This window comes from Homo sapiens, chromosome 6, assembly GCF_000001405.40.
Source record: "Homo sapiens chromosome 6, GRCh38.p14 Primary Assembly".
NCBI classification, from domain to species: domain Eukaryota; kingdom Metazoa; phylum Chordata; class Mammalia; order Primates; family Hominidae; genus Homo; species Homo sapiens.
Genome location: NC_000006.12, coordinates 44,849,452 through 44,873,025, shown reverse-complemented (window position 1 = coordinate 44,873,025; position 23,574 = coordinate 44,849,452). Strand labels below are relative to the sequence as shown.

The window sequence follows — 23,574 nt, the reverse complement described above, 5'->3', positions numbered from 1 at the left end:
GTCTCTTTGTAGGTCACTCAGGACTTGCTTTATGAATCTGTGTGCTCCTGTATTGGGTGCATAAATATTTAGGATAGTTAGCTCCTCTTGTTGAATTGATCCCTTTACCATTATGTAATGGCCTTCTTTGTCTCTTTTGATCTTTGTTGGTTTAAAGTCTGTTTTATCAGAGACTAGGATTGCAACCCCTGCCTTTTTTTGTTTTCCATTGGCTTGGTAGATCTTCCTCCATCCTTTTATTTTGAGCCTATGTGTGTCTCTGCACGTGAGATGGGTTTCCTGAATACAGCACACTGATGGGTCTTGACTCTTTATCCAACTTGCCAGTCTGTGTCTTTTAATTGCAGAATTTAGTCCATTTATATTTAAAGTTAATATTGTTATGTTTGAATTTGATCCTGTCATTATGATGTTAGCTGGTGGTTTTGCTCGTTAGTTGATGCAGTTTCTTCCTAGCCTCGATGGTCTTTACATTTTGTCATGATTTTGCAGTGGCTGGTACCGGTTGTTCCTTTCCATGTTTAGCACTTCCTTCAGGAGCTCTTTTAGGGCAGGCCTGGTGGTGACAAAATCTCTCAGCATTTGCTTGTCTATAAAGTATTTTATTTCTCCTTCACTTATGAAGTTTAGTTTGGCTGGATATGAAATTCTGGGTTGAAAATTCTTTTCTTTAAGAATGTTGAATATTGGCCCCCACTCTCTTCTGGCTTGTAGGGTTTCTGCCGAGAGATCCGCTGTTAGTCTGATGGGCTTTCCTTTGAGGGTAACCCGACCTTTCTCTCTGGCTGCCCTTAACATTTTTTCCTTCATTTCAACTTTGGTGAATCTGACAATTATGTGTCTTGGAGTTGCTCTTCTCGAGGAGTATCTTTGTGGCGTTCTCTGTATTTCCTGAATCTGAACGTTGGCCTGCCTTGCTAGATTGGGGAAGTTCTCCTGGATAATATCCTGCAGAGTGTTTTCCAACTTGGTTCCATTCTCCACATCACTTTCAGGTACACCAATCAGACGTAGATTTGGTCTTTTCACATAGTCCCATATTTCTTGGAGGCTTTGCTCATTTCTTTTTATTCTTTTTTCTCTAAACTTCCCTTCTCGCTTCATTTCATTCATTTCATCTTCCATTGCTGATACCCTTTCTTCCAGTTGATCGCATCGGCTCCTGAGGCTTCTGCATTCTTCACGTAGTTCTCGAGCCTTGGTTTTCAGCTCCATCAGCTCCTTTAAGCACTTTTCTGTATTGGTTATTCTAGTTATACATTCTTCTAAATTTTTTTCAAAGTTTTCAACTTCTTTGCCTTTGGTTTGAATGTCCTCCCGTAGCTCAGAGTAATTTGATCGTCTGAAGCCTTCTTCTCTCAGCTCGTCAAAATCATTCTCCATCCAGCTTTGTTCCGTTGCTGGTGAGGAACTGCGTTCCTTTGGAGGAGGAGAGGCGCTCTGCGTTTTAGAGTTTCCAGTTTTTCTGTTCTGTTTTTTCCCCATCTTTGTGGTTTTATCTACTTTTGGTCTTTGATGATGGTGATGTACAGATGGGTTTTTGGTGTAGATGTCCTTTCTGGTTGTTAGTTTTCCTTCTAACAGACAGGACCCTCAGCTGCAGGTCTGTTGGAATACCCTGCCGTGTGAGGTGTCAGTGTGCCCCTGCTGGGGGGTGCCTCCCAGTTAGGCTGCTCGGGGGTCAGGGGTCAGGGACCCACTTGAGGAGGCAGTCTGCCCGTTCTCAGATCTCCAGCTGCGTGCTGGGAGAACCACTGCTCTCTTCAAAGCTGTCAGACAGGGACACTTAAGTCTGCAGAGGTTACTGCTGTCTTTTTGTTTGTCTGTGCCCTGCCCCCAGAGGTGGAGCCTACATAGGCAGGCAGGCCTCCTTGAGCTGTGGTGGGCTCCACCCAGTTCGAGCTTCCCGGCTGCTTTTTTTACCTAAGCAAGCCTGGGCAATGGCGGGCGCCCCTCCCCCAGCCTCGTTGCCGCCTTGCAGTTTGATCTCAGACTGCTGTGCTAGCAATCAGCGAGATTCCGTGGGCATAGGACCCTCTGAGCCAGGTGTGGGATATAGTCTCGTGGTGCGCCGTTTTTTAAGCCGGTCTGAAAAGCGCAATATTCGGGTGGGAGTGACCCGATTTTCCAGGTGCATCCGTCACCCCTTTCTTTGACTCGGAAAGGGAACTCCCTGACCCCTTGCGCTTCCCAGGTGAGGGAATGCCTCGCCCTGCTTCAGCTCGCGCAGGGTGCGCGCACACACTGGCCTGCGCCCACTCTCTGGCACTCCCTAGTGAGATGAACCCGGTACCTCAGATGGAAATGCAGAAATCACCCGTCTTCTGCGTCGCTCATGCTGGGAGCTGTAGACTGGAGCTGTTCCTATTCGGCCATCTTGGCTCCTCCCCCTTCTTTTTCTTTTTCTTTCTTTTTTTTTTTTTTTTTGAGACAGAGTCTCACTCTGTCACCCAGGCTGGAGTATAGTAGCACAGTCCCGGCTCGCTGCAGCCTCGACCTCCTGGGCTCAAGTGCTCATCTCACCTCAGCCTCCCAAGTAGCTGGGACTACAGGTGTGCACCACCACACACCTGGCTAATTTTTGTATTTTTCGTAGAGATGGAGTTTCACCGTGTTGCCCAGGCTGGTCTTGAGCTCCTGGCCTCAAGAGATCCTCCTGCCTCAGACTCACGAAGTGCTGGGATTACAGGCATGAACCACCACGCCTGGCCGACATACACAAATCTTAAGCATACTATGCTGATGAAACTCTTTTTGATCATCATTTTAACTCTTGCTGTGCTCTGTATACATGTTAATTGAAAGAGCTGTTTTGTGAGGAAAGAGGCACTGTTCCATTGGTAGAAGCTGTTTATAACTTGTTAGTTGTTGAAAGAGCCATTATTTGCCAGATCAAAGTTAAATCACTAAAAAGGACCAGGTTGGGAAGTGGATGAATGAAGAGAAATGTTGAAATTCTTTGGGGGAAAAAAAGCAAAATTGGCTGATAATTGGCAAAAGACTGGTTATAGGTGTTTGGGTACCTCATACACAACTTGCTTGTATAATTTGCTTTCTACTTTTGCTTTGTAAATTTAGAGGCAGGGAAATGAAAAGAGATATTGTTTCTCATCTCCACTATTCTCCCTAGAAATTCTTTCTTATCTAATACAGAGAGCCTCACATTGTCCTGACATGTTTGACACCTTGTTAAAGATTGATAGGTGAGTGAATGAGTGAAAATAAATGAATAGCTATTCTTAGCAGTCAGAAGGTACTTCCTAGGGACTTCCTAACTAGTGGTTATGAGATAATTATGCTATATCTTCCGGTGGACTGTGGCACAATGCTTTCAAGGAGTCTTAGAGCAAGGGATTCGGGGCAGGTTAGAAAAGAGCTTTCTGATTCATGGGTGTACTTGGTTTATATTTCTTTGCATTTAGGTAGGTAGGTAGAATTGGTTTAGGTTTTTTTGCATTTACATAGATAAGACACACAGATACACACATTGAAGTTGTCTGGGCATATTAGGAGTAATTACCTACATACGTGCTGATTTTCAGAACAGTTGCAATATCGTCTGTTTCAACCTACTGGGTTTTCTTAGTGGTTTATATCTCAGCCCTTGGTTCACTGCTCAGAGTTTCACCTCTGCCTCAGTGAGTCACCCAGCATTTAGCAGCATGCATGGCTATTTTTCTCGAGTCCCTTGAAATGAACTCCCAAGGAGTTGTTTTTGTAGAAGACAGTTGGTAAAGAAGGGCTTTTTCAGTATTGTCACAGCCTTTGGGGTGTGATATGCTATTTGTCTTTCCAAGGAGGCAGTCTTCAAAGAAAAAAAAAAAGACAAAGCAGCCTATACTCAGTGTTAAGAATTGCTGCTTACTTTTGATGTTTGGACAAGAGCTGGCACTGCTAGAGATGTTCTGCCTTTTGAGGCACAGCTCATGCCATCCATGTGAGCACAGAGTCTCATCAGCATTCACATCTTACCTGCTACTGGTCTCACACTGTGGAAATGGGTAATAGAAACAGAAACATCAGTGACATTTGGCTCTTTTATTCAGAGGAATCAAAAGTGACAAAGAGAAGCCAGGGTCAGCAGTAGGCAGTAGGTCCACCCATTGGGATAGCATAGCTATTGGGGAAATTGTCAGCACAGAGGCAAAACCATGGTATTCCGTGACTGCAGCAGGAGGTCTGCAGTTGTGACTTTAGCCAAGAAGCATTGGGAATCCAAGATGAGTTGACAAGGAATCTATCCTGATGTTTGTCTTTGGGACAAACATCAGGAAACACAGGAAGTAGTTGCTGTGATGAAGTCCAAGAAAACAGGCAGAGCTAAGGAGCTCCAAAGAGGGGAAGACAGGCAGGAATTGATAGGTGTGGGGACCCCCACAGGCAGAAATGGCACCTTCAAGACTCCCAGCAGCAGAGTCTTAGAGGGAATGGTGGAGCAGCGTTGGGTTGCCTAGCAGCTGAACAGAGTCCATAGCATGACAAAATGGACAAGACAGGACCTAAGCAGAGAAAGCCATATACTCGCAGATGACTACCTTGTCACAGAAGCATTATGAGACACAGCCTCATCCAGGCAGGTAGATGGTGACATCATCCTTAAAAGGCTGAAATGGATGGTTCCATCCTTAGAGACTTTTCTTTAAAAAGTATAATTATTGGGGCAAGAAAAACATGAACTTGGTTTTTAAATTTTACTTTACGTTTTCCTGGGGTTTTATTCTGTTTGCTTCCAGCATGGTCCAAATACCTACTTCAAAGCAAACATTCTAACAAGAACTTGTTAAGAGGAAGGGAAACCAGCTCCTGTGGCTTCTTGTACACCAGCTATGGGGGCACTCACAGAACCACGTTTGTGAGTTGAGTGTAAATGAATCCGAAACCTACAAATTAGATTTCCTTTGAAATACACATGGGTTTAAAACTTTAACGGGAAAAGAACTTGGCAAATCAAATCTGAGCATATTCAGTAAAACCTCACTAATTTGCACTAATGACCAAGAGATCCATTGAGAATTACTGGATTTTTGTGAGTGTGTTAGCATGGGAGAAAAAAAAAAAAATACCAAAATGGTTGAGAAGGTAGGGATGGGGGATAGAAAAAGAGAAGGAGGAGGAAAATCAAAGTTCTAGCATCAAACAAACATACTTTATGGTACAATGAAGAATGTATTTGAACGGTTACTGGAATGAAACTCAATAGCTTAATGAGTGCCTTGCTGTGGTACGCCTGCCCACTGGGGAGGCAGCCATGTCATAAGGCCTGCCTAAGCCAGCAGCTAATGTGCACTTAGGTAAAGAGGCCTTTGCTTTTTTGAAAGTTGAGGGGTTGTGGTTTTTGCAAGGGTGTGAACCAATGAGATTCTACTGTGTGTCATGCAGGTTTGTTATAGACTTGCACATGTAGGCTGTGATTCTAAGTCCGCATTGGGGATGGAATTGCTTATTACTGCTTAAAAAAAAGTGAAAACTTGCTAGAAAGAGACAGCAATTCTGACTAGCTGAATCTTTTTTAGATGTTAGCGAATCAATCATATCTATAGTAGAAGATGAAATTTAAAGCATTCTGAATTGAAGATTGAATATTTGGTAGCCCTTTATTGTGACATGAATTTTATTAAAAAAGGTGGGAGGCCGAGGCGGGAGGATCACTTGAGGTCAGGAGTTCGAAACCAGCCCGGCCAACATGTATCTACTAAAAATATGAAAATTAACTGACTGTGATGATGCCTGCCTGTAATCCCAGCTCCTCAGGAGACTGAGACAGGAGAATCACTTGAGCCCAGGAGGCGGAGGTTGCAGTGAGCTGAGATCACACCACTGCACTGCAACCTGGGTGACAGAGTGAGACTCCATTTCAAAAAAAAAAAAAAAGTGTATCTTCCTTTATAAGTAACTGTCTAAAAAGTTCTTTAAAGATTTAATTATTCGTGGCCCAAATTTCAGTAATCATAGTGGCTGTTTTTAATCCATTTACTTAAGAAATAGTTTTCTTCAGTTGTTAGTATTTTTACATGTGCAGTTAAAGGACAGTGATGTTTCCTTTCACTCTCCTTTCCATAATATCCGAGAATATCTAAAATTGTGATAGTCTTTATTACTATGGAATATGTCTTTACTAAATGTGCTATTCTTCTGACTTAAGCGCAACCCTTGGTAATGATTTGTGTTTACACTGATTTAAGTCACTCCTTAGACTTCCCTTACTGCAAGCTAATGTTTTACCAGCTGAAGAATAATTTAGAACTTCAACTCAAGTAGCCATTGAAGGCTGTGGGGGATAATAAATATGAATAGTCAGAGCTTTCTCTAGGATATAAGCTGAGGCAATGATTTCAGGTCTTTAACTGCTGCCCCTAGACCAGAAAAGGAGTTGTCACACCAGCTGCTGCAGAAAAAGACCAAACCTAATTTGACACACAGTAAAGCCTAAAAGGAGTTGGGCACTAGAAGGAGTTGCTTGTATAGAAGACAGTTGTAAAGCTTTATGTTTTTTTTTTTATTTTCCTAAGAGATGGATCTCAATATATATATATTACCTAAGAGATGGATCTCAATATATATATATATTACCTAAGAGATGGATCTCAACATATTACCTAGGCTGTCCTCAAATTCCTAGCCTCAAGTGATCCTCCTACCTGAACTTCCCAAGTAAGTGGGACTACAGGCGTGCACTGCTAAGCCGGGTTTGCTTTTGTCATTTTTAGTATTTTCTTTCTTTTTCCCCAGTTAAACAATAAAACATAATTCATGTGCCACCTCCCCCTCAAGTCATGGAGTAGAGAAGTAATGAATTTGGAGGATTCATTTATCCCATAGGAATCATACAAAAGTTATTCACTCTTTTCAAGCCCCCAGTTTGCCCCTGTGACTCTTAGACAGGCAATCTACTTTGCTTAAAAAAAAAAAAAAAAAAAAAGTCGATGTAGGCTTTCTAAATTATTTTCTTCCTCACCTCAACATTTCTGTAATTTAATTCCTGTTATCTCTCTTAGACCTGTTTCTGAGGAGAAAGTACTGATTAGTTTGTCAAGCAGAGCTCTTAAACTCCCCTCCCTCACTGCAAGTTCTCCCACTTGGCTTTCTGCTTCCTGTCTGTATTTTAGCAGACTCAGGTCTCCCCCATCTTGAGTCCTCTCCTTGGCAGTGCAGATGACTATTATTGTTACTGCCCTTTTACAGCAGAACTCTTTAGAAGATTGGAGAACATTCTACTTAATATATGTGATGTACCTCAAGTCCCTGCCTCTAAGGCTCCTGGTATGGTTTGGCTCTGTTTCCCCACTCAAATCTTATCTTGAATTTTACTCCCATAATTCCCACATATTGTAGGAGAGACCCAGTGGGAGATAATTGAATCATGGTGGTTTCTCCCATACTGTTCTTGTGATAGTGAATATGTTTCATAAGTTCTAATGGTTTGATAAGGGAAAACCTGTTTCATTTGGTGCTCATTCTCTCTCTTGCCTGCTGCAATGTAAGACATGCCTTTCACCTTTTGCCATGCTTGTGAGGCCTCCCCAGCCACGTGGAACTGTGAGTCCATTAAATCTCTTTTTCTTTGTAAATTACCCAGTCTTGGGTATGTCTTTATCAGCAGCATAAAAATGAAGTAATACAGTAAATGGGTACCAGGAGTGGGGTGCTGCTGAAAAGATACCTGAAAATGTGGAAGTGACTTTGGAACCTGAATAACAGACAGAAGTTGGAACAGTTTGGAGGGCTCAGAAGAAGACAGGAAAATGTAGGAAAGTTTGGAACTCTCTAGAGACTTGCTGAATGGCTTTGACCAAAATGGTGATAATGATATGGAGTGGACAGTGAAATCCACGCTGAGGTGGTCTCAGATGGAGATGAGGAACTTGTTGGGAACTGGAGCAAAGGTGACACTTGTTAGGTTTTAGCAAAGAGACTGGCAGCATTTTGCCCCTGCCCTAGAGACTTGTGGAACTTTCAACTTGAGAGAGATGATTTAAGGTATCTGGCAGAAGAAATTTCTAACCTGCAAAGTATTCAAGAAGTGACTTGGTGTGTTAAAGGCATTCGGTTTATAAGGGAAGCAGACATAAAAGTTTGCAGCCTGACAATGCGATATAAAAGAAGATCCCATTATATGAGGAGAAATTCAAGCCAGCTTTAGAAATTTTTATAAGTAACACAGAGCCAAATGTTAAGCCCCAAGACAATGGGGAAAATGTCTCCAGGGCATGTCAGAGGTCTTCATGGCAGCCCTTCCCATCATGGCCCGGAGGCCTAGGAGAAAAGAGTGTTTTTTTTGTGGGCTGGGCCCAGGGTCCCCACGCTGTGTGCAGCCTAGGGACTTGGTGCCCTGTGTCCCAGTCACTCCAGCCATGGCTGAAAGGGGCCAACACAGAGCTCAGGACATGGCTTCAGAGGATGAAAGCCTCAAGCCTTGGCAGCTGCCACGTGGTGTTGAGCCTGCCAGTGCACAGAAGTCAAGAATTGGGGTTTGGGAACCTCTGCTTAGATTTGAGAGGATGTAGGGAAATACCTGGATGTCCAGGCAAAAGTTTGCTGCAGGGGTGGGGCTCTCATGGAGAACCTCTCCTAGGGCAGTGCAGAAGGGAAATATGGGATTGGAGTCCCCACACAGAGTCCCTACTGGGGCATCACCTAGTGGAGCTGTGAGAAGAGGGTCACCATCCTCCAGACTCCAGAATGGTAGATCCACTGACAGCTTGCACCATGGGGCCAGTAGCCCCTTTGTTTTAGCCAGTTTCTACCATTTGGAATGGCTGTATTTACCCAATGCCTGTACCTTCATTATATCTAGGAATTAACTAACTTGCTTTTGATTTTACAGGCTCATAGGCGGAAGAGACTTGCCTTGTCTCAGATAAGACTTGGGACTATGGACTTTGAGTTAATGCTGAAATGAGTTAAGACTTTGGGGGACTGTTGGAAAGGCATGATTGATTTTGAAATGTGAGAATATGAGATTTGGCAGGGGGCAGGAGCAGAATGATATGCTTTCATTCTGTGTCCCCACCCAAATCTCATCTTGAATTGTACTCCCATAATTCCCACATATTGTGGGAGGGACTCGGTGGGAGATAATTGAATCATGGGGGCAGTTTCTCCCATACTGTTCTCATGGTAGTGAATAAGTGTCACGAGATCTGATGTTTGATAAAGGGAAACCTGTTCCACTTGACTCTTATTCTCTCTCTTGCCTGCTGCGATGTGAGACGTGACTCTTGCCTTCCACCATGATTTTGAGGTCTCCCTAGCCACGTGGAACTGTGAGTCCATTAAATCTCTTTTTCTTTGTAAATTATGCAGTCTTGAGTATGTCTTTATCAGCAGCATGAAAATACAGCCCCACATGATCTGGCCCCCGACAACCTCTTAATTCATCTCTTAATACCTGCCCTCTTGCTCATTCTGCTGCAGCCACCCTGACCTCTATCCTGTTCCTCAAAGACTCCACTTAATGTTCCTACCCCAACGTCTTTCCACTTTCACTTCTCTCTACCTAGAGTGCTTTTTGGTCATATATTATACTACATGGCTTATTCTGTCATTTACTATAGAGCTCCCTGATCTAATGATACCTTCACGAACAGGACCTCCTGACCCCTTACATGAAATAGGAACACCACCTCCTCTCTAGAACTCACCGTTGCTTTTTCCCAGGATATCTTTTCCCCATAGCACATTACCCCTTTTCATCCCATAGCATGTGTCACCCACAAATACTGTGTGTGTGTGTTTATTGCATATTTCTTCCACTGTAATATTTTGTGTGAGAGCATGGACTTTACCTGTTTGGCTCACAGGTGCATTCCCACACCTAGAAGAGTGACTGGTAAGTAATCAGTGCATGACTGGATTAAAGATAGAGTAGATATACATACATTCTGCAAATATACTAGCCCTTTCTTTGGTGAACTTTGTTATTTTATTTTGTTTTTAATTAGTAATTTTTAGGTTTGTTCTTTGAGGGGAGTTTTTATAACAGTTTTTAGGTGGAGTGTTGCTCTCTTGCTTCCTAACAAGCAGATGTCAGCTGCAGGCAAACCTTGTGGAGACTCCTTTCTTAACTAAAATGTTTGCTTAAGAGAATATGCCGTCAAAGAGAGAAGCTGTACACCATCAGGGGATTTTTTAGTTTTTGAAATTAAATTGTTTGATCAGGTTCAAGGTGTTTTTAAAATTTTTTAATGTCCTCCTTCAATACGTCTTTATTGAACTTTTAGACACTAATATTTTAACAAATACAAAAGAGAAGGGCCTTGCCCATGAGACAATTATAGCCCAAATGAAAGAGAAACTATAGAATTCTATCATTTCTTTTTTTATTTTAATATTAATTTTTTTTTTTTTTGATACAGAGTTTCATTCTGTTGCCCAGGCTGGAGTGCAGTGGCGCAATCTTGGCTCGCTGCAACCTCCACCCGCCTTGTTCAAGCAATTCTCCCTGCCTCAGCCTCCCAAGTAGCTGGGGTTACAGGTGCCTGCCACCACGCCCGGCTAATTTTTGTATTTTTAGTAGAGGCGGGATTTCACCATGTTGGCCAGGCTGGTCTCAAACTCCTGACCACAGGTGATCCGCTCACCTCGGCCTCCGAAAATGCTGGAATTACAGGTGTGTGTCACTGCGCCTGGCCCTGTATCATTTCTTTATAAGGTGTAATGTGCGAATCCTTCACAGGCTGTAGTAAGAGCAAGTAGAGGGCACTTCACCTGGTTTTGGGGTTCCAAAAAGGCTTTGTGGAGAAAGGATTGCCTGAGCTGAATTTTGAAGAGTAAGAAGAGTTAAGCCAAGCAGAGAAGGGGGCAAATTGCAGAAGGAGCATGAGCAAAAGTGAGTTCCAAGGAGGTGTGAAACAGCACTGCATTGTCAGGTTATTACCAACATTTTGAAATGCTTAAAGCATGAAGTACATGGTGAGAAATGGCTGGAGATGAGAAGAAAAGGAGAGGCGGGGGCTGAGGCATGGAGAATGCTGTATTTAGGAGCTTGGGTTTAATCCTTAAGGTAGTGTCCTTGCAGGGCTTTTAAGCGAACATCAGAGTCAGAAGGTGTATTATAGGTACTGTCAACTTTTCAGTGGCTTTGAAACTTCAGCCACATAACTTGTTCTTCAAACAAGATCTTACATTTTAGCTTAATATTAAAATCAGATCAAAGCAGAACTGCCCAGTTGAGGTTGGGGTGGAAAACACAGAACTTCCAAGCTTGGTATCTTCCTTATTCTTCCCTAGCCCCTCTTGTCAGCTCCTAGGACAACTCTGGGAAACTTCCAGGGCCCTTCTTAGCACACTGTTAAAAATCAACCCTTTCAATTTTTATATTAGAAAACTGTGGCTGGGGCCAGGCATGGTGGTGGCTCACATCTGTAATCCCAGCACTTTGGGAGGCTGAAGCAGGTGAATCACCTGAGGTCGGGAGTTGAAGACCAGCCTGACCAACATGGTGAAACCCTGTTTCTACTAAAAATACAAAAATTAGCTGGGCGTGATGGCAGACACCTGTAATCCTAGCTACTCAGGAAGCTGAGGCGGGAGAATCGCTTGAATCCAGGAGGCGGAGGTTGTAGTGAGACAAGATTGTGCCACTGTACTCCATCCTGAGCGACAGAGTGAGACTCCTTCTCAAAAAAAAACAAAAAGAAAAGAAAAGAAAACTGTGGCTGAGCATCATGGCCCATGCCTTTAATCCCTTTGGGAAGCTGAGGTGAGAGGATCACTTGAGCCCAGGAGTTTGAGATTAGCCTGGGCAACATAGGAAGACCCCATCTCTACAAAAATAAAACAACTAGCCAGGTGTGGTGGTGCTTGCCTGTAGTCCTAGCTACTCAGGAGGCTGAGGCAGGAGGATCACCAGGAAGTTGAGGCTGCAGTGAGCTGTGATCGTGCTACTACACTCCAGCCTGAATCACAGAGTGACACCCTGTATCCAAAAAATAAAAAAACAAAACAAAACAAAAGAAAGCTATGACTGAGAAAATGAGAAAATTAGAGTATCTCAGTGAATTAATAGCAGAACCCAGGACTCTTGATTCTCAATCTAGTTCTTTTCTGCAGTATAATGTACATCATTGGCAAAAGAAAACTTTTACTGTTTAATACAGAAATTCCTCACTCTTATGCAGGTGCAATAGGTGAGATTAAAAAAATATATATCACCCAAGTAGAATAAATGTTCTACATTGAGTATATCCTTATTAATCTTATTAATGCAGACTTTTTTTAAAAAGATTCTTTTAGAATTGGTTTCTAGTCCATATAGTTTCTTTGCTTTTTTATGTTAGTGGCTAGAATACCAAGTTACCATCCCTCAACTTGAATTTTTTAGGAATTAGATACAGGGAGTTTTTTGTTACAGCCTCTTGTTGTTAATGAAATCACTTGCCATTAAGTCCTAGTAGTGTCTGTTTACTGACCTTGCTTAAATAGTATGTCATGGCTGAATCCTGTTATAATGGCAAAAGCAGTTGAATAAGAGTCGGGAGACCTGGTTCTACTCCCAGTCCGGCCATTAACTGGTTGAATAACATTTGGAAAAGTCACTCAAGCTCAACTGTACAATGAGAAGGTTGAACTAAATTACTTCTAAGGCCCATTCGAGCTCCTACAGTCTGTGATTCTAATTATAGGGTATGTTGTGTTTTATCTGTGAGAGTGGTGATGTTATAGACTGCTGCAAGCTCTCATTTTTGGTGGTCTGAATGACTAAGGATAGCTGGGTACATGAAGCAGTTGATTGTGAATATCTCTGAAGAGACGCAAAAGTGGGCATTTACTCATCAGGGCAGAGGATATGTATTAATGAAATGAGTTCATTTATTTGCAACTATATTCACAGTCTGGGAATTTGAATGGCTTCACTGAAATTCTAGTAATAAATTCCCCACGACCTTATCAGTGGACAGTTCAGCCTTGGGACAGCCCACTTAGCAGATGTTTATTAAGAGTGTTTATGAAGAGCTGTGCTTATCTCAGTGGGAGTCATGGTATATAAACTCTTTTAGGACTCTCAGAATAATAGAAGTCCTTCATAGTCCATTTCTGAATTCCCCATTCTGTGTTTGATTCCCCAATCTCATTTTTCTGCAGAAGCCCTTCCTCAATGTGCTATTTAAAGTCCTTTAAATCAAGCCCTATTACTTTGAGAATAAGTGTGATATAACAAACAATGACATTATTATATTGTAAGGACAAGAAATGGGGTTAAGTTATAAAGCAGAACATTTTTATTTACACAGCAGTGTTTTAATAACCAGCAAAATTTTGGAAGAGAACTAGAAAAATAGTTAAAAGATAAATGGACTTATGTTTCAATGTTATGATTTTTCACATACACTAAAGTTCATTTTTACTTTTTTAAATCCTTGAATTTCGGACAGGACCCTAGGAGAGTTGTTGGTATCCTTTGGTCAACACATTTGTCAGGGTATTTTCTTTTTTCAATGTCCTTCTATGGTTCTATTAAGCAATAACCTCATTAGCACCACATTCTGAGTGGTATAGTATGATAGCTTTACTACAAAGGGGTTCTGTATTTCACTTGCCAGGATATAACACTCTTATGACAGGAGAGAAAAAGAAAACTTGCTATGAAGGGGAAGCTTAGACATTATTTACTCTAAATATTGGAGCTTTCCATTTGAAAGTTTACAGAGGCTGAAGAATTGTTGAATTTGGAGATTTTGAAATGAAAATCTCCAGCAAGCTCTAAAAATGTTTCCACCTTAAAAAACAAGTTCTGTTTCCTTCTGTGAGCATTTGCCTTACATAGCTTTGGATTAGTCTATAAGTTATTTTCATCACAAATACCTTTCACTAAGAGACACAGTATCACCCTCTTCTGGAGTGAAACAAATAAAACATTCTGGTTCAGGGCTAGGCAACTTGAGAACAGACTGTCAGTTGTGTTGAGTTAGATGGACTCTTTTTACCTCTTTATATCAAGTCTATTTTTTAGGTTACATCAAGTTAAAGTAATGCAAACTCTGAAAGGCCCAATCCAAATTAACCCTGGCAGTATTCCAGAAGTGCTGGGAACTGGCAAATTTAAATCATTTTCAATTCCAGATTCTTTTTTTCTTTTATCTTTGGCTTTTTGTCATCCTGGATGAGTTAGAACTATGGAAAAACCATCATTACTGATTTTACCTCTTTTGAGTCCCTTGACTTTGTCTACACAGGCAAAATGTATTATAGCAAATATATCCCAAAAATATCATTAAGTCCTAGACAGCCATAGGAACAAAGCTCTGTTGACACAGTTAAAAATAATTATGTGCATAAATACCTTCTCAGGTCCTTCTCCAGGTGCGTGTCACTCTAGCATGGCAATATGTAGGTGCATGCTACCCAGTTGTGGGTAGATTTAGAGATAAAGCACAGGGATAAAGATGAAATTGCCATTTATGTAGGTCAAACCCAATTGAATGCCAACAGTTTTATATGGTTCAACTTAGTAATTATTTTGATCTGTTATCAATTAGCAGTTACTCTTCACTTCACCTTTGCTCCGAGCATATAATCTGAATTCATCTAAATTGACAAGCCACTACCAAAACAAAGCAATGCAACAAAATACAGAAGGTTCTCTGTGTCTCAGCTTCTTCATCCGTAAAATGGAGGTGGTAATGGCACAAATGCACCTTCCTTGTAGGGTTGTGAAGATTAAATGTAAAAGGCCTAGAATAGCACTTGACATGTAACAAGCACTCAGTAAATTTAGTCATTAGTAACATTGTCATCATTATCAGCATGTTACTAATTTGTTTGTTCAATGAATATTTATTGGCTTCTGACTATTTGGCAAGCTGCCTGGTACTGGGGCCACATTTCTGAATAGGCTATATTCCCTACCCTCAAGGTTCAATTATAATGTAGTGTAGTGTAGTAGTAATGTAGTATAAGTGCTACTGTAGGGCTAGCAGGTGCTGTGGACTTAGTGCACTTGGGCGAGGCCTGATTTTGTCTTAATGATCAGGGAAGGCTTCCTGCAGGGAATGTCAGCTAAGCTGAAATCTAAAGGACTAATAACGTTAGCCAAGAAAAAGTAACCAGGAAGAACAGACTCATCAGCATGAATATAAAGTATAGAGGCTGGAGGGAGAGAGAGCATTATGTGTTCTGAGAACAAGTCTTTACTTCCCTCCTGTTTTGCACTTATTACCCCATATATCAACAGGTTTCATCTGTTGACACCATGGCAAAAATGTATATGATTTTTACCAATGTGATCAAGAGCTTATTGCTAGTTGCCTATTTGAATAGTTCGAGAGTTGCTTACCAAAGGATTCCAGCTGTAATGTTTTTGTCCTGTACAGAAGTGGCTATTCTCTAAAGGTATTTTTATGTAATCCTAGGTAAGAAAAATCGACTAAAAAGTAAAAACTGGGCCTCCAGAATAGAAAAGAACTTTTAAAGAAAATCTGTTAATAATGCTACATAATAATAGCAATAGTAAAATCATTGTAGAAGAGCTGGATTACTTATTTATCTGAATAACCAAAGAGTGCATTTTTCAAAAACAAAGCCAGTTAACATTGAGCTAAACATAGACATTAAAAATCAATCCAATTGATATGGATTTTTTTTAATAGAGCAAAGTAAACCAGTTAAAGCAAACGATTGTAGCAGTCAGATCTCTCCCAATGAGACTGCTCTCCCCAGTAGAACATCCCTTTCTTTCACAAACCCATACGAGCTTAAGAGAATGTGTTTCTCTTCCGCTTTTGTCCTTTTACTAAGATAAAACTTATGTGTCCATTATGGCGCTTTGTGTTTTATAAGGGTATTATAAGTGATGCTTTATTTATTTTGTATTTTCAGAACATCTGGATAAAAAGATTAAAAAGGTAAACAATGTGGAAGAAGCAAAATGCAGACAGTAACAATAAAAAAGAAAATTTACCAATTAATATACTATTGAAAATCTGAATTTTTAATAAAGGGATTATTTCTTTGAGTCTCAAAAGACTGCTTACTGTTGAGCCTATGTTTTGGGTTAGTTTATGATATAGAAAATTGATTGAATTGAAATGTATATCTTTCCCCCATATAATAACATACCTAATTCTATACTCGTGAATACCGAAGTCCCCATGATTTATTACAGATTTTATTCTCATTTATGAGTTCCATGTCAAACTGTTAAATCAACGGAATCATTACCTTTGCCTTAAATTAGCATAGCACATCATTAGGGAAAGCAATGCTATACATTTAATTGCTGTTTTTAAAAGTTATGTCATGTTGCCGTGCCCTACGTTTGTGTTCATGTGTTACCATGTTTAATTTATAAGGCGTTTGTTTAATTTACAACAAGCTTCTGGGCTGCTTCCTGTTGTTCACTAGCTCCCTCAAAGCCCAACTATTTGGTAATAGCTGTGGCTATTGCTATGTGAGTATTTGAAATATAGTGAAACTGAAATGATATAGGATAAGAGGGCAAATGTTAGAGAATTGGAAAAATAGAAAAAACCAGTGCAGCATGAAATGTCAAACCACATTTTAGGGCACTTTTACTGTATTTCCATAAATGCATGAGGGAATTATGTTGCAAATACTTGAAACTGTTTATTTTCATTTTTGGCCTGATTTTCTAGCATTGAAGAAACCATGTCTAATGATCTTGAGTATTCCTAAAGAAAAAGAAATTATATTTTACATAATGGTTTACATGTGTGAGTTCCCTCTGGCAGAAGCACTATAATTAGTGTGTCGTCTCTGAGGGAAGAGACTAGCTGTCTTAAAGATGCAGTGGCCACATTTGACTGCAGGAGCTGAGTGCAGAACATTATGATTTTGTTGAAAGATAAACACCATCCCTTTTCACTTATTCATTCACTCTCCTTCCTGCTTCTTTGGCAAGGGAAGCAAAGGACAACTGAGTACAAGCGGTTTTCTTCCTTTCTTATTCAGCAAACCATGGAGAAATATCTTGGCTTCTTGACATTAATAAGTGCTTCAACTATATTTGGAACCATTTGGGCAGCTTTTCAAAAATGAAAAAGGTACAATAAAAGAGGACCGAACTTCCTGTTTTACTCATAAAGTAGCAGATTCAGCAAAGGCTTACTCTCCTCTGGGAACAGTCATATTCTTCCCTGGAGACTGGAGATTGTAGAATATTATTTCCTTGCACAGCTTTCATTGAAACTATTAAAAGACAGCTTGAGGAGGCATAATGGCAGACAGTATGAAGCTTTTCAGTATTGTTACTAAACGAGAATAATGGTAGTGTAAATGCTTGACTGCCTCTGAAGTAGTCAAAAGTGTCTCTGATTGTCAGGGTGGTGGGGTGGGACCTAAAGGCTGTCCTAGAACCGAAACAGAAAAAGAATGTGAGCGCATATATAATGGTTTTGTGTAAGATGTATGGATGTATCTGTTGTCTATCTGCATTATCGTCTACACACCATCTTTGTGTAGTCTTTGCTGTATATTAATTCTTGATTCCCTGCAATATTTGAAGAAACTGGAATTGACCAAGAATCAAATACGGCACATTTCAGACCAGTACCTATGGCTGCACAGAAGTAGTGAAAAGATATGAAGAAACCATTCTATGAATAAAGATGACAGTTTCATTAGGAGAGCAAATAAGAAAAACTGTGCCTTCTGATTCTGTTTTGCATTAGTTTGTATTCGTTTCTGAGCACACTAGAGCCAGGATGTCTGCTACCCCTTATCTGTTACAGTGTGGGCCATAAAGCTGGGGAGATGAAAAACTGCTGCTTCAGTAGAAGCATCTGCCAGTCAAAACTGGCCAGCCCAAGAGATGGGACTCAAGCCCGTCAGCACCTCCCTGATCCACAGCAAAGCAGTTTGGGAGAAGAGGGGCAAAGTTAAGTGTGTGGTATTATATGACCCTCTCTAGAAAGTGCAAGATGTTTGTGTGCAATTCCATGTGATAGAAAAAGCTTTGAGATCAGAAAACATGAGTTTCTTAATATAATCTGACTGTTCTTTGATAACCCAAGAATTGCAAGTTGCACAACTGAGTGGTGAAAAATGAACTCTATGATTGTTTTCATTCTAAGGTGAAAACATCAAGGACACATTTTGTGCTTCCTCTTTGTGCTTATCTTTTAGATAAGGAAATTCTATGTTTTATCTCTGGAGGTTTCTTGAACTTAAGTAATATAATGAATCCTGTCACATAAGATAGTCCTTCAGGTATTTGAAGATAGCTGTCATCTTTCCAGATTCTGTAAGAAAGTCTTTAGTTTAAAAGAATTATCCAGATGGAAATAAATTTCTTCTTATCTTTCATATGAATAATATTTTAAAATCACATTTTAGATACATTTAAATGCTGGCATTTTTACTTTAATGTGTTTGTGGTCATAAGCAGAGATGGTTCATAAGGGCGTACTCACTGAGTGCAGAAGCTGAATGGAGCTGGATCTGCAAGAAGCGTAAAGAAAAGAGAGGAGAATTCTGGCTGCAAGGGATTGAGGGCATATAGAATGGGAAAAAGGAGAAGGAACCTCAGCAGAGAGAAGCTGTTCAGTAACATTGATGCCACTAAGCTCTCCCGCTCCAGAACCAAGTTCAACAGAAGAGCAGAATGACTCCTAGTATCTACTGTTCAGTATTAGTTTATACTGATTGACAGCTTCTTTTCAAAATAGGTGGTAAAGGATCACTCAGGCTGCTATGAAGAGAGTGTCCTACAGACCAGAAGAGAAGCAAGGAGACCAGTTAGGGTGTTATTAAAAGAGTCCATAGAAGGATGATGGTACAGTGCATTTTGTTTTGGGAAAGCTGATTTCAGCCTATTTTTTTCTTGCCTGTTAACAAGACAAAAAAAATCATTCCTGCATTCATTTTTATTCCCCTGTTTGGGGGAATAAATTTTATAATTTGTTCTATGTGCATTTTCAGGCCCCAAGCATGGATTAACTTTTCATCTGTTTAAATGACTGAATGTCATGGCAGTGATATTTGTGTCTTGTTTATTCTTCTGTCTCCAGTGCAGACTCCAAGAGCTCTCTGCGTATATTTATTATAAGTGAAGGGGTTCAAAATATACCACTTTGACTTTTTTTTTTTTTTAGCTAAAGGCAATTGAGAACCAGCTGATGCAGGAAAAGCTCTTTACCTCCCCCTCAACTATCTAGAATAAAGTATAAATTTACTTTTGTAAATGAAATTTCCACTAGTAAAGTATTTTTATCAGGAAGAGAACTACTCTCAGTAGTTCTTATCACTCTTACCAGCATAATAAAGCAAACTTTATTTGCTACACATTTTTCCCCTCACCTTCCCATAATTTGCCTCCCACTCCCCCCACCAGAAGCCCCTAAACCACTACTCCTGTTTATAGCTCAGGTATGTAAGTCTCAATTATCTGCCCATCTCCTTGAGCCTCATTTTTGTAAAACACTCATGCATATGTATGTAATTAAGTTTTTTTCTCCTGTTAATCTGTCTTACACTGATTTAATTCTTAGACCAGAGAACCTGGAAAGAGTAAAAGGAAGCATTGTTTCCTCCTGTACACATGTACTTATTTAATTTTTATTTTTTTATTTTTGATAGAGTTGGTTTCCCACTATGTTGCCCAGACTGGTCTGGAACTTCTGGGCTCAAGCAATCCTTCTGCATTGACCTCCCAAAGTGCTAGGATTATAGGCATAAGCCACCTCATGCACCACTTGCATTTATTGAATGCATGTTTCCTATGATGATTTTAGAGCTTCTCGAGGTTATCAGTGATTCAAAGGCCAGTACAACGTAGAAGTTGAGAACATGGGTTGTGGAGCAACTGCCTAGGTTCACATCATGACTCTCCACTTAGCAACTGTGTGACTTTGGGCAAGTTATATAACCTTACTGAAAGCACCTGTCTAATAGCATTGTTATAAGGACTAAATAAGTTAATACATGTTAAATGCTTAGAATAGTCCCAAGCACAGAGTAAACACAGTATGTTAGACTTTGTTATTATAATTAAAAAACAAAAGCTTATTTCTCTTTAATCTCTAGAGAGCAAGGCAGTCGTTAGGTAACATACTTTCTACAGCCACTAGGACATTATTTAAAAATGTTAAAGATATAGATGTAAAACTCTGTTTAGAATTGTTTTGAACCAGGTGGTAGACTGGAACCTCCTGCAAGACAAAGTGCAAAACAAATTGCTGCATAGTTAGCTAATACTGTACGTACACCTTTTCTCTGCACTTGCCCTAAGGTCAGCTCACAGAACAGCGACAACTATGGAAGAAGTAGCATTTTTTATACAAATTACTTGTTTTGTGGGAGAGCAAGACCTTTTGTATGCTGATAGGAGTTTTTGTTTAATAAAACACTTAAAGGTTAAAAATATAGAGAATTTACCATAGCTGTTCTTCTATGAAAATAGTATGTTCTCCAAATTAGAAGAATGAGTAAATAGCATAAATTTTTAAGATGTTTTCATTTTCTTCTAATGTTCATGAATACTATTTCTCTTGTGGGAGGTTGGGAAGAGGGTAAGGAAAGTAACAGAAAGCTTGGGAGAAGAGGTTGTTCCTTCTCCACTTAATTTTTCAAAGGATGAAGTCCTTCAATAGCCTTAGAACCAGAAGAGGTTAAGTAAAAATGTAAAAATAGAGCCCTGCTGAAACTTGACCTCCAAAGCCTTTTTTGATGTAGGTGCCATATTATATGTTCACAGCTCTATAATATGGCTTTCAGTGTAGTAAATGAAGCTGAGCAAGGTCTGAGCATGCCTCAGCCAAGCATAATGCAAAATTAGGGAAAAAATAGTAGAGTGGAATTAGTTGAAAGGTAAAGAAAGCAAACTGGAAAAGGTGACTAGTGCCACCTATAATTACTTTTCCTCAGGTGCCCATTTGCCTAATTCTGGCTTAAATACTTTAAATAATTGATTCTCAGCCTCTTCCCTCCTCACTAGAATACAGTGAAAATTAAAAGCAAAAGTTTTTGAGTTTCCCCAAGGCTGGAAAATAGAAGATATGGTATTATTACCACGAATTGGTCCTCTAATGTGTGAGGATGATGGATTTTCCATTTCATTTGGCACCCAAATTTGTAGGAAACGCCAATGGGGCCCCTCTTATTTAAATAAGGAGTCAATCTTTGTCTCTTTGGCAGACTAAGTTCCTGGAAAAGGCCTGACAAGTCAAAATGATGTAAGTCAGTTTTCGATTTTCCCATAGAAACAGTGTTCAGTAGGAGTTTATAATCTTGATCAGGGGCTCAATGAGCAGCTTTTTATAGAAATCACTCCAGACACCAGATTTCATCAACTGAATCAATTTTAAAAGGCACTCTAGTATTTCATAACCTAGATATTTATGTATTTTTAATAAGTTCATAGCCATATGGAATCCTTTTTAAAAATTATCCTATCACATTTTTGTTTTAAGGAACTAGAAGGCAACAATATGTCTCCATTGGTATGGAAATTCAAAAGGCTAACCGGGGATCATTTTGACAAGTTTCTCCAAGGAGACCTAGGATAACTCAATGATGGCTCTTCAATAAAGAAATCACACTTTTTCTCATCACTAGTTCCACTATATCTAGCACAAGTCTTAGAGACTGAGTATTTTGGTAGATCAATCTGAAGTTGGATTTATTTCCTTCTAATTGCCTAATAAGTCTGTCTGTTCTGCCAACCATAATTGTGGTGAATATGAACACAAGCGTGAGTCACATCAGTGTCTCTCCAAGACTGCCTGTTTACCAATGAAGGAGAATTTCTTACATCCCCACTTTCTGCTCATCCTAGCCAGTTTAGAAAACTCTTTTTATTCCTTAGATATTGGTGTTATTTTATTCTGCTCTTGTATTTAAGTACATCTTTATATGTAAATATTTCAAAAAATATAAAGGGCCATGGAAAGGTATTCAAATTTATTGAAACCATTCCTATGAGGAGGGCTAAAGGCTGATCCCTTCCTGTGGTCTCTACACATAGAAAAATCCCCAAGTCCTTGATGCTTATTTCCAGAATTCCATCACATGAATTAAATTCAGTGTCCATCACGTACACCATCTGTCAGAGGTCACAGCCATGTCATTAGACCTTGAGCTCCCAAAAAAGAGAGAACTTGGTCTATGGGTGGGTTCCTACTAGCAAATCTTGAACAAACCAGAAGCTTTATCAGAAACCGCTAGATAAACCAGTAGCTTATTATGAATGCTAATATGACTATAACTGAGAAAACTGAAAGCTATAAATGGTGGCTTCATAGCATCTATATATGTTTGTACATACAAGGTACATTTATAGATAGATAGATAGATAGATAGATAGATAGATAGATAGATAGATAGATGTATATAAAACCAAAAGCAAAATAAGCCCAGCTTCCCTGGATTCTGACTGACAATGAACAAAATAATTGAAAAAAGAAAGTTCAGTATTTCAGTCATAAACTTCCAAGACTCCTTTCTATTTGAGAATGTTTTTGTCTTGCTAACCACAGAGAACAGTTGGAGTGAGTGGATCATTTTATTTTGATTGCTTCTCCTGCACTGGCCCTGAGGGACAGACTTGATGATCTAATAAGTCTTTTCCATCTCTAATATCTATAATTTTGGCTATTCTGTGGCAGCTTCTTATTGCTTTAAATAAGCCATCTTAATTCAAAAAACATACATCTGGATTTGACCTGCCTAATATATGTCAAGAAGAGTGTGTCCCTTTAAAGCCCCACCAGGGAATTTCTGAGAGACTAAAGAAACTGAAAGGAAGCAGGAAAAAAAAGGTTAGGGGGAAGTGGAGGGGAACTGTGATTCAAACAATTTTCTGTTTATTTTATTTAAGTTTTTATTTTTCAATAAGGAGATTGTCCCTTAGGCCTCCTTAAATCATTTATTGGTTAAAATTTAATCTGATCATTAGTGCATTCTTACATTAGTAGCATTTTAAAATTGTTGATTCTTTTTCTTGGAAGTTATTCTACCATTAACTAGCATTTTGTTTCACAGATTTTAGTCATCATCTCTGACCAGTTCTTGGCCTCATATCCACTCTGCAACTCCTCAGACTTGAATGTCTGAAGAGGAAGTGGTATCTATGCATTGCTCCAAATGTCAGCCAGTGGTGGTCCTCAGGCCAGGTGTCCTGGGGGCATTATTACAAATACATAGTAACTGTCTTCTCCCCAGCTAAATACATTGCCAACAGTATGAATTCGCTTTTATAAATGTATAAATATATTGCCTCTACAGTTGTACTCAGGCCATACATCTGGTTGATCTGCTGGAATAGCTATCCTTTATTTTTCCTGCCCAGTGATTTTAATTCAATGTGTAGGTCTTGTAAGCTGTTTTTGGTTAATATTTTCTCCTGCACATATTTAGTTATTTCCTGAGATTATTGTTCCAGACAGAAGAATAGAGGACTATGTCTGTGTCTCTTTTTGTCCATCAGTCTGTCCTTGTCTTCCTGCAAGACTAATTCAGCCTAAATGCTTAGTTACTTTTTCTGACCCTTTCTCCAGATCCTCATGATTATAGGCAGATCAAACTAGAATAAAAATTAGTATTCATGGCCGGGCGCGGTGGCTCACGCCTGTAATCCCAGCACTTTGGGAGGCCGAGGCGGGCGGATCACGAGGTCAGGAG

At 39.8% G+C, this 23,574-nt stretch overlaps 1 protein-coding gene across 23 annotated transcripts in view, besides 1 other annotated feature; it reads left to right on the top strand.

The window, feature by feature from the left end:
• SUPT3H (SPT3 homolog, SAGA and STAGA complex component) overlaps window positions 1–23,574 on the top strand; it is a 568,878-nt gene that overhangs the window by 504,909 nt on the left and 40,395 nt on the right. The window lies entirely within an intron of this gene.
• Window positions 1,506–2,129: an enhancer, noted in NCBI's record as "OCT4-NANOG-H3K27ac-H3K4me1 hESC enhancer chr6:44838634-44839257 (GRCh37/hg19 assembly coordinates)". NCBI's record gives its function as "activates a minimal SCP1, AML or CMV promoter by ChIP-STARR-seq in primed H9 embryonic stem cells {active_cell/tissue: H9 hESC(primed)}" and the evidence as "EXISTENCE:reporter gene assay evidence [ECO:0000049][PMID:30033119]".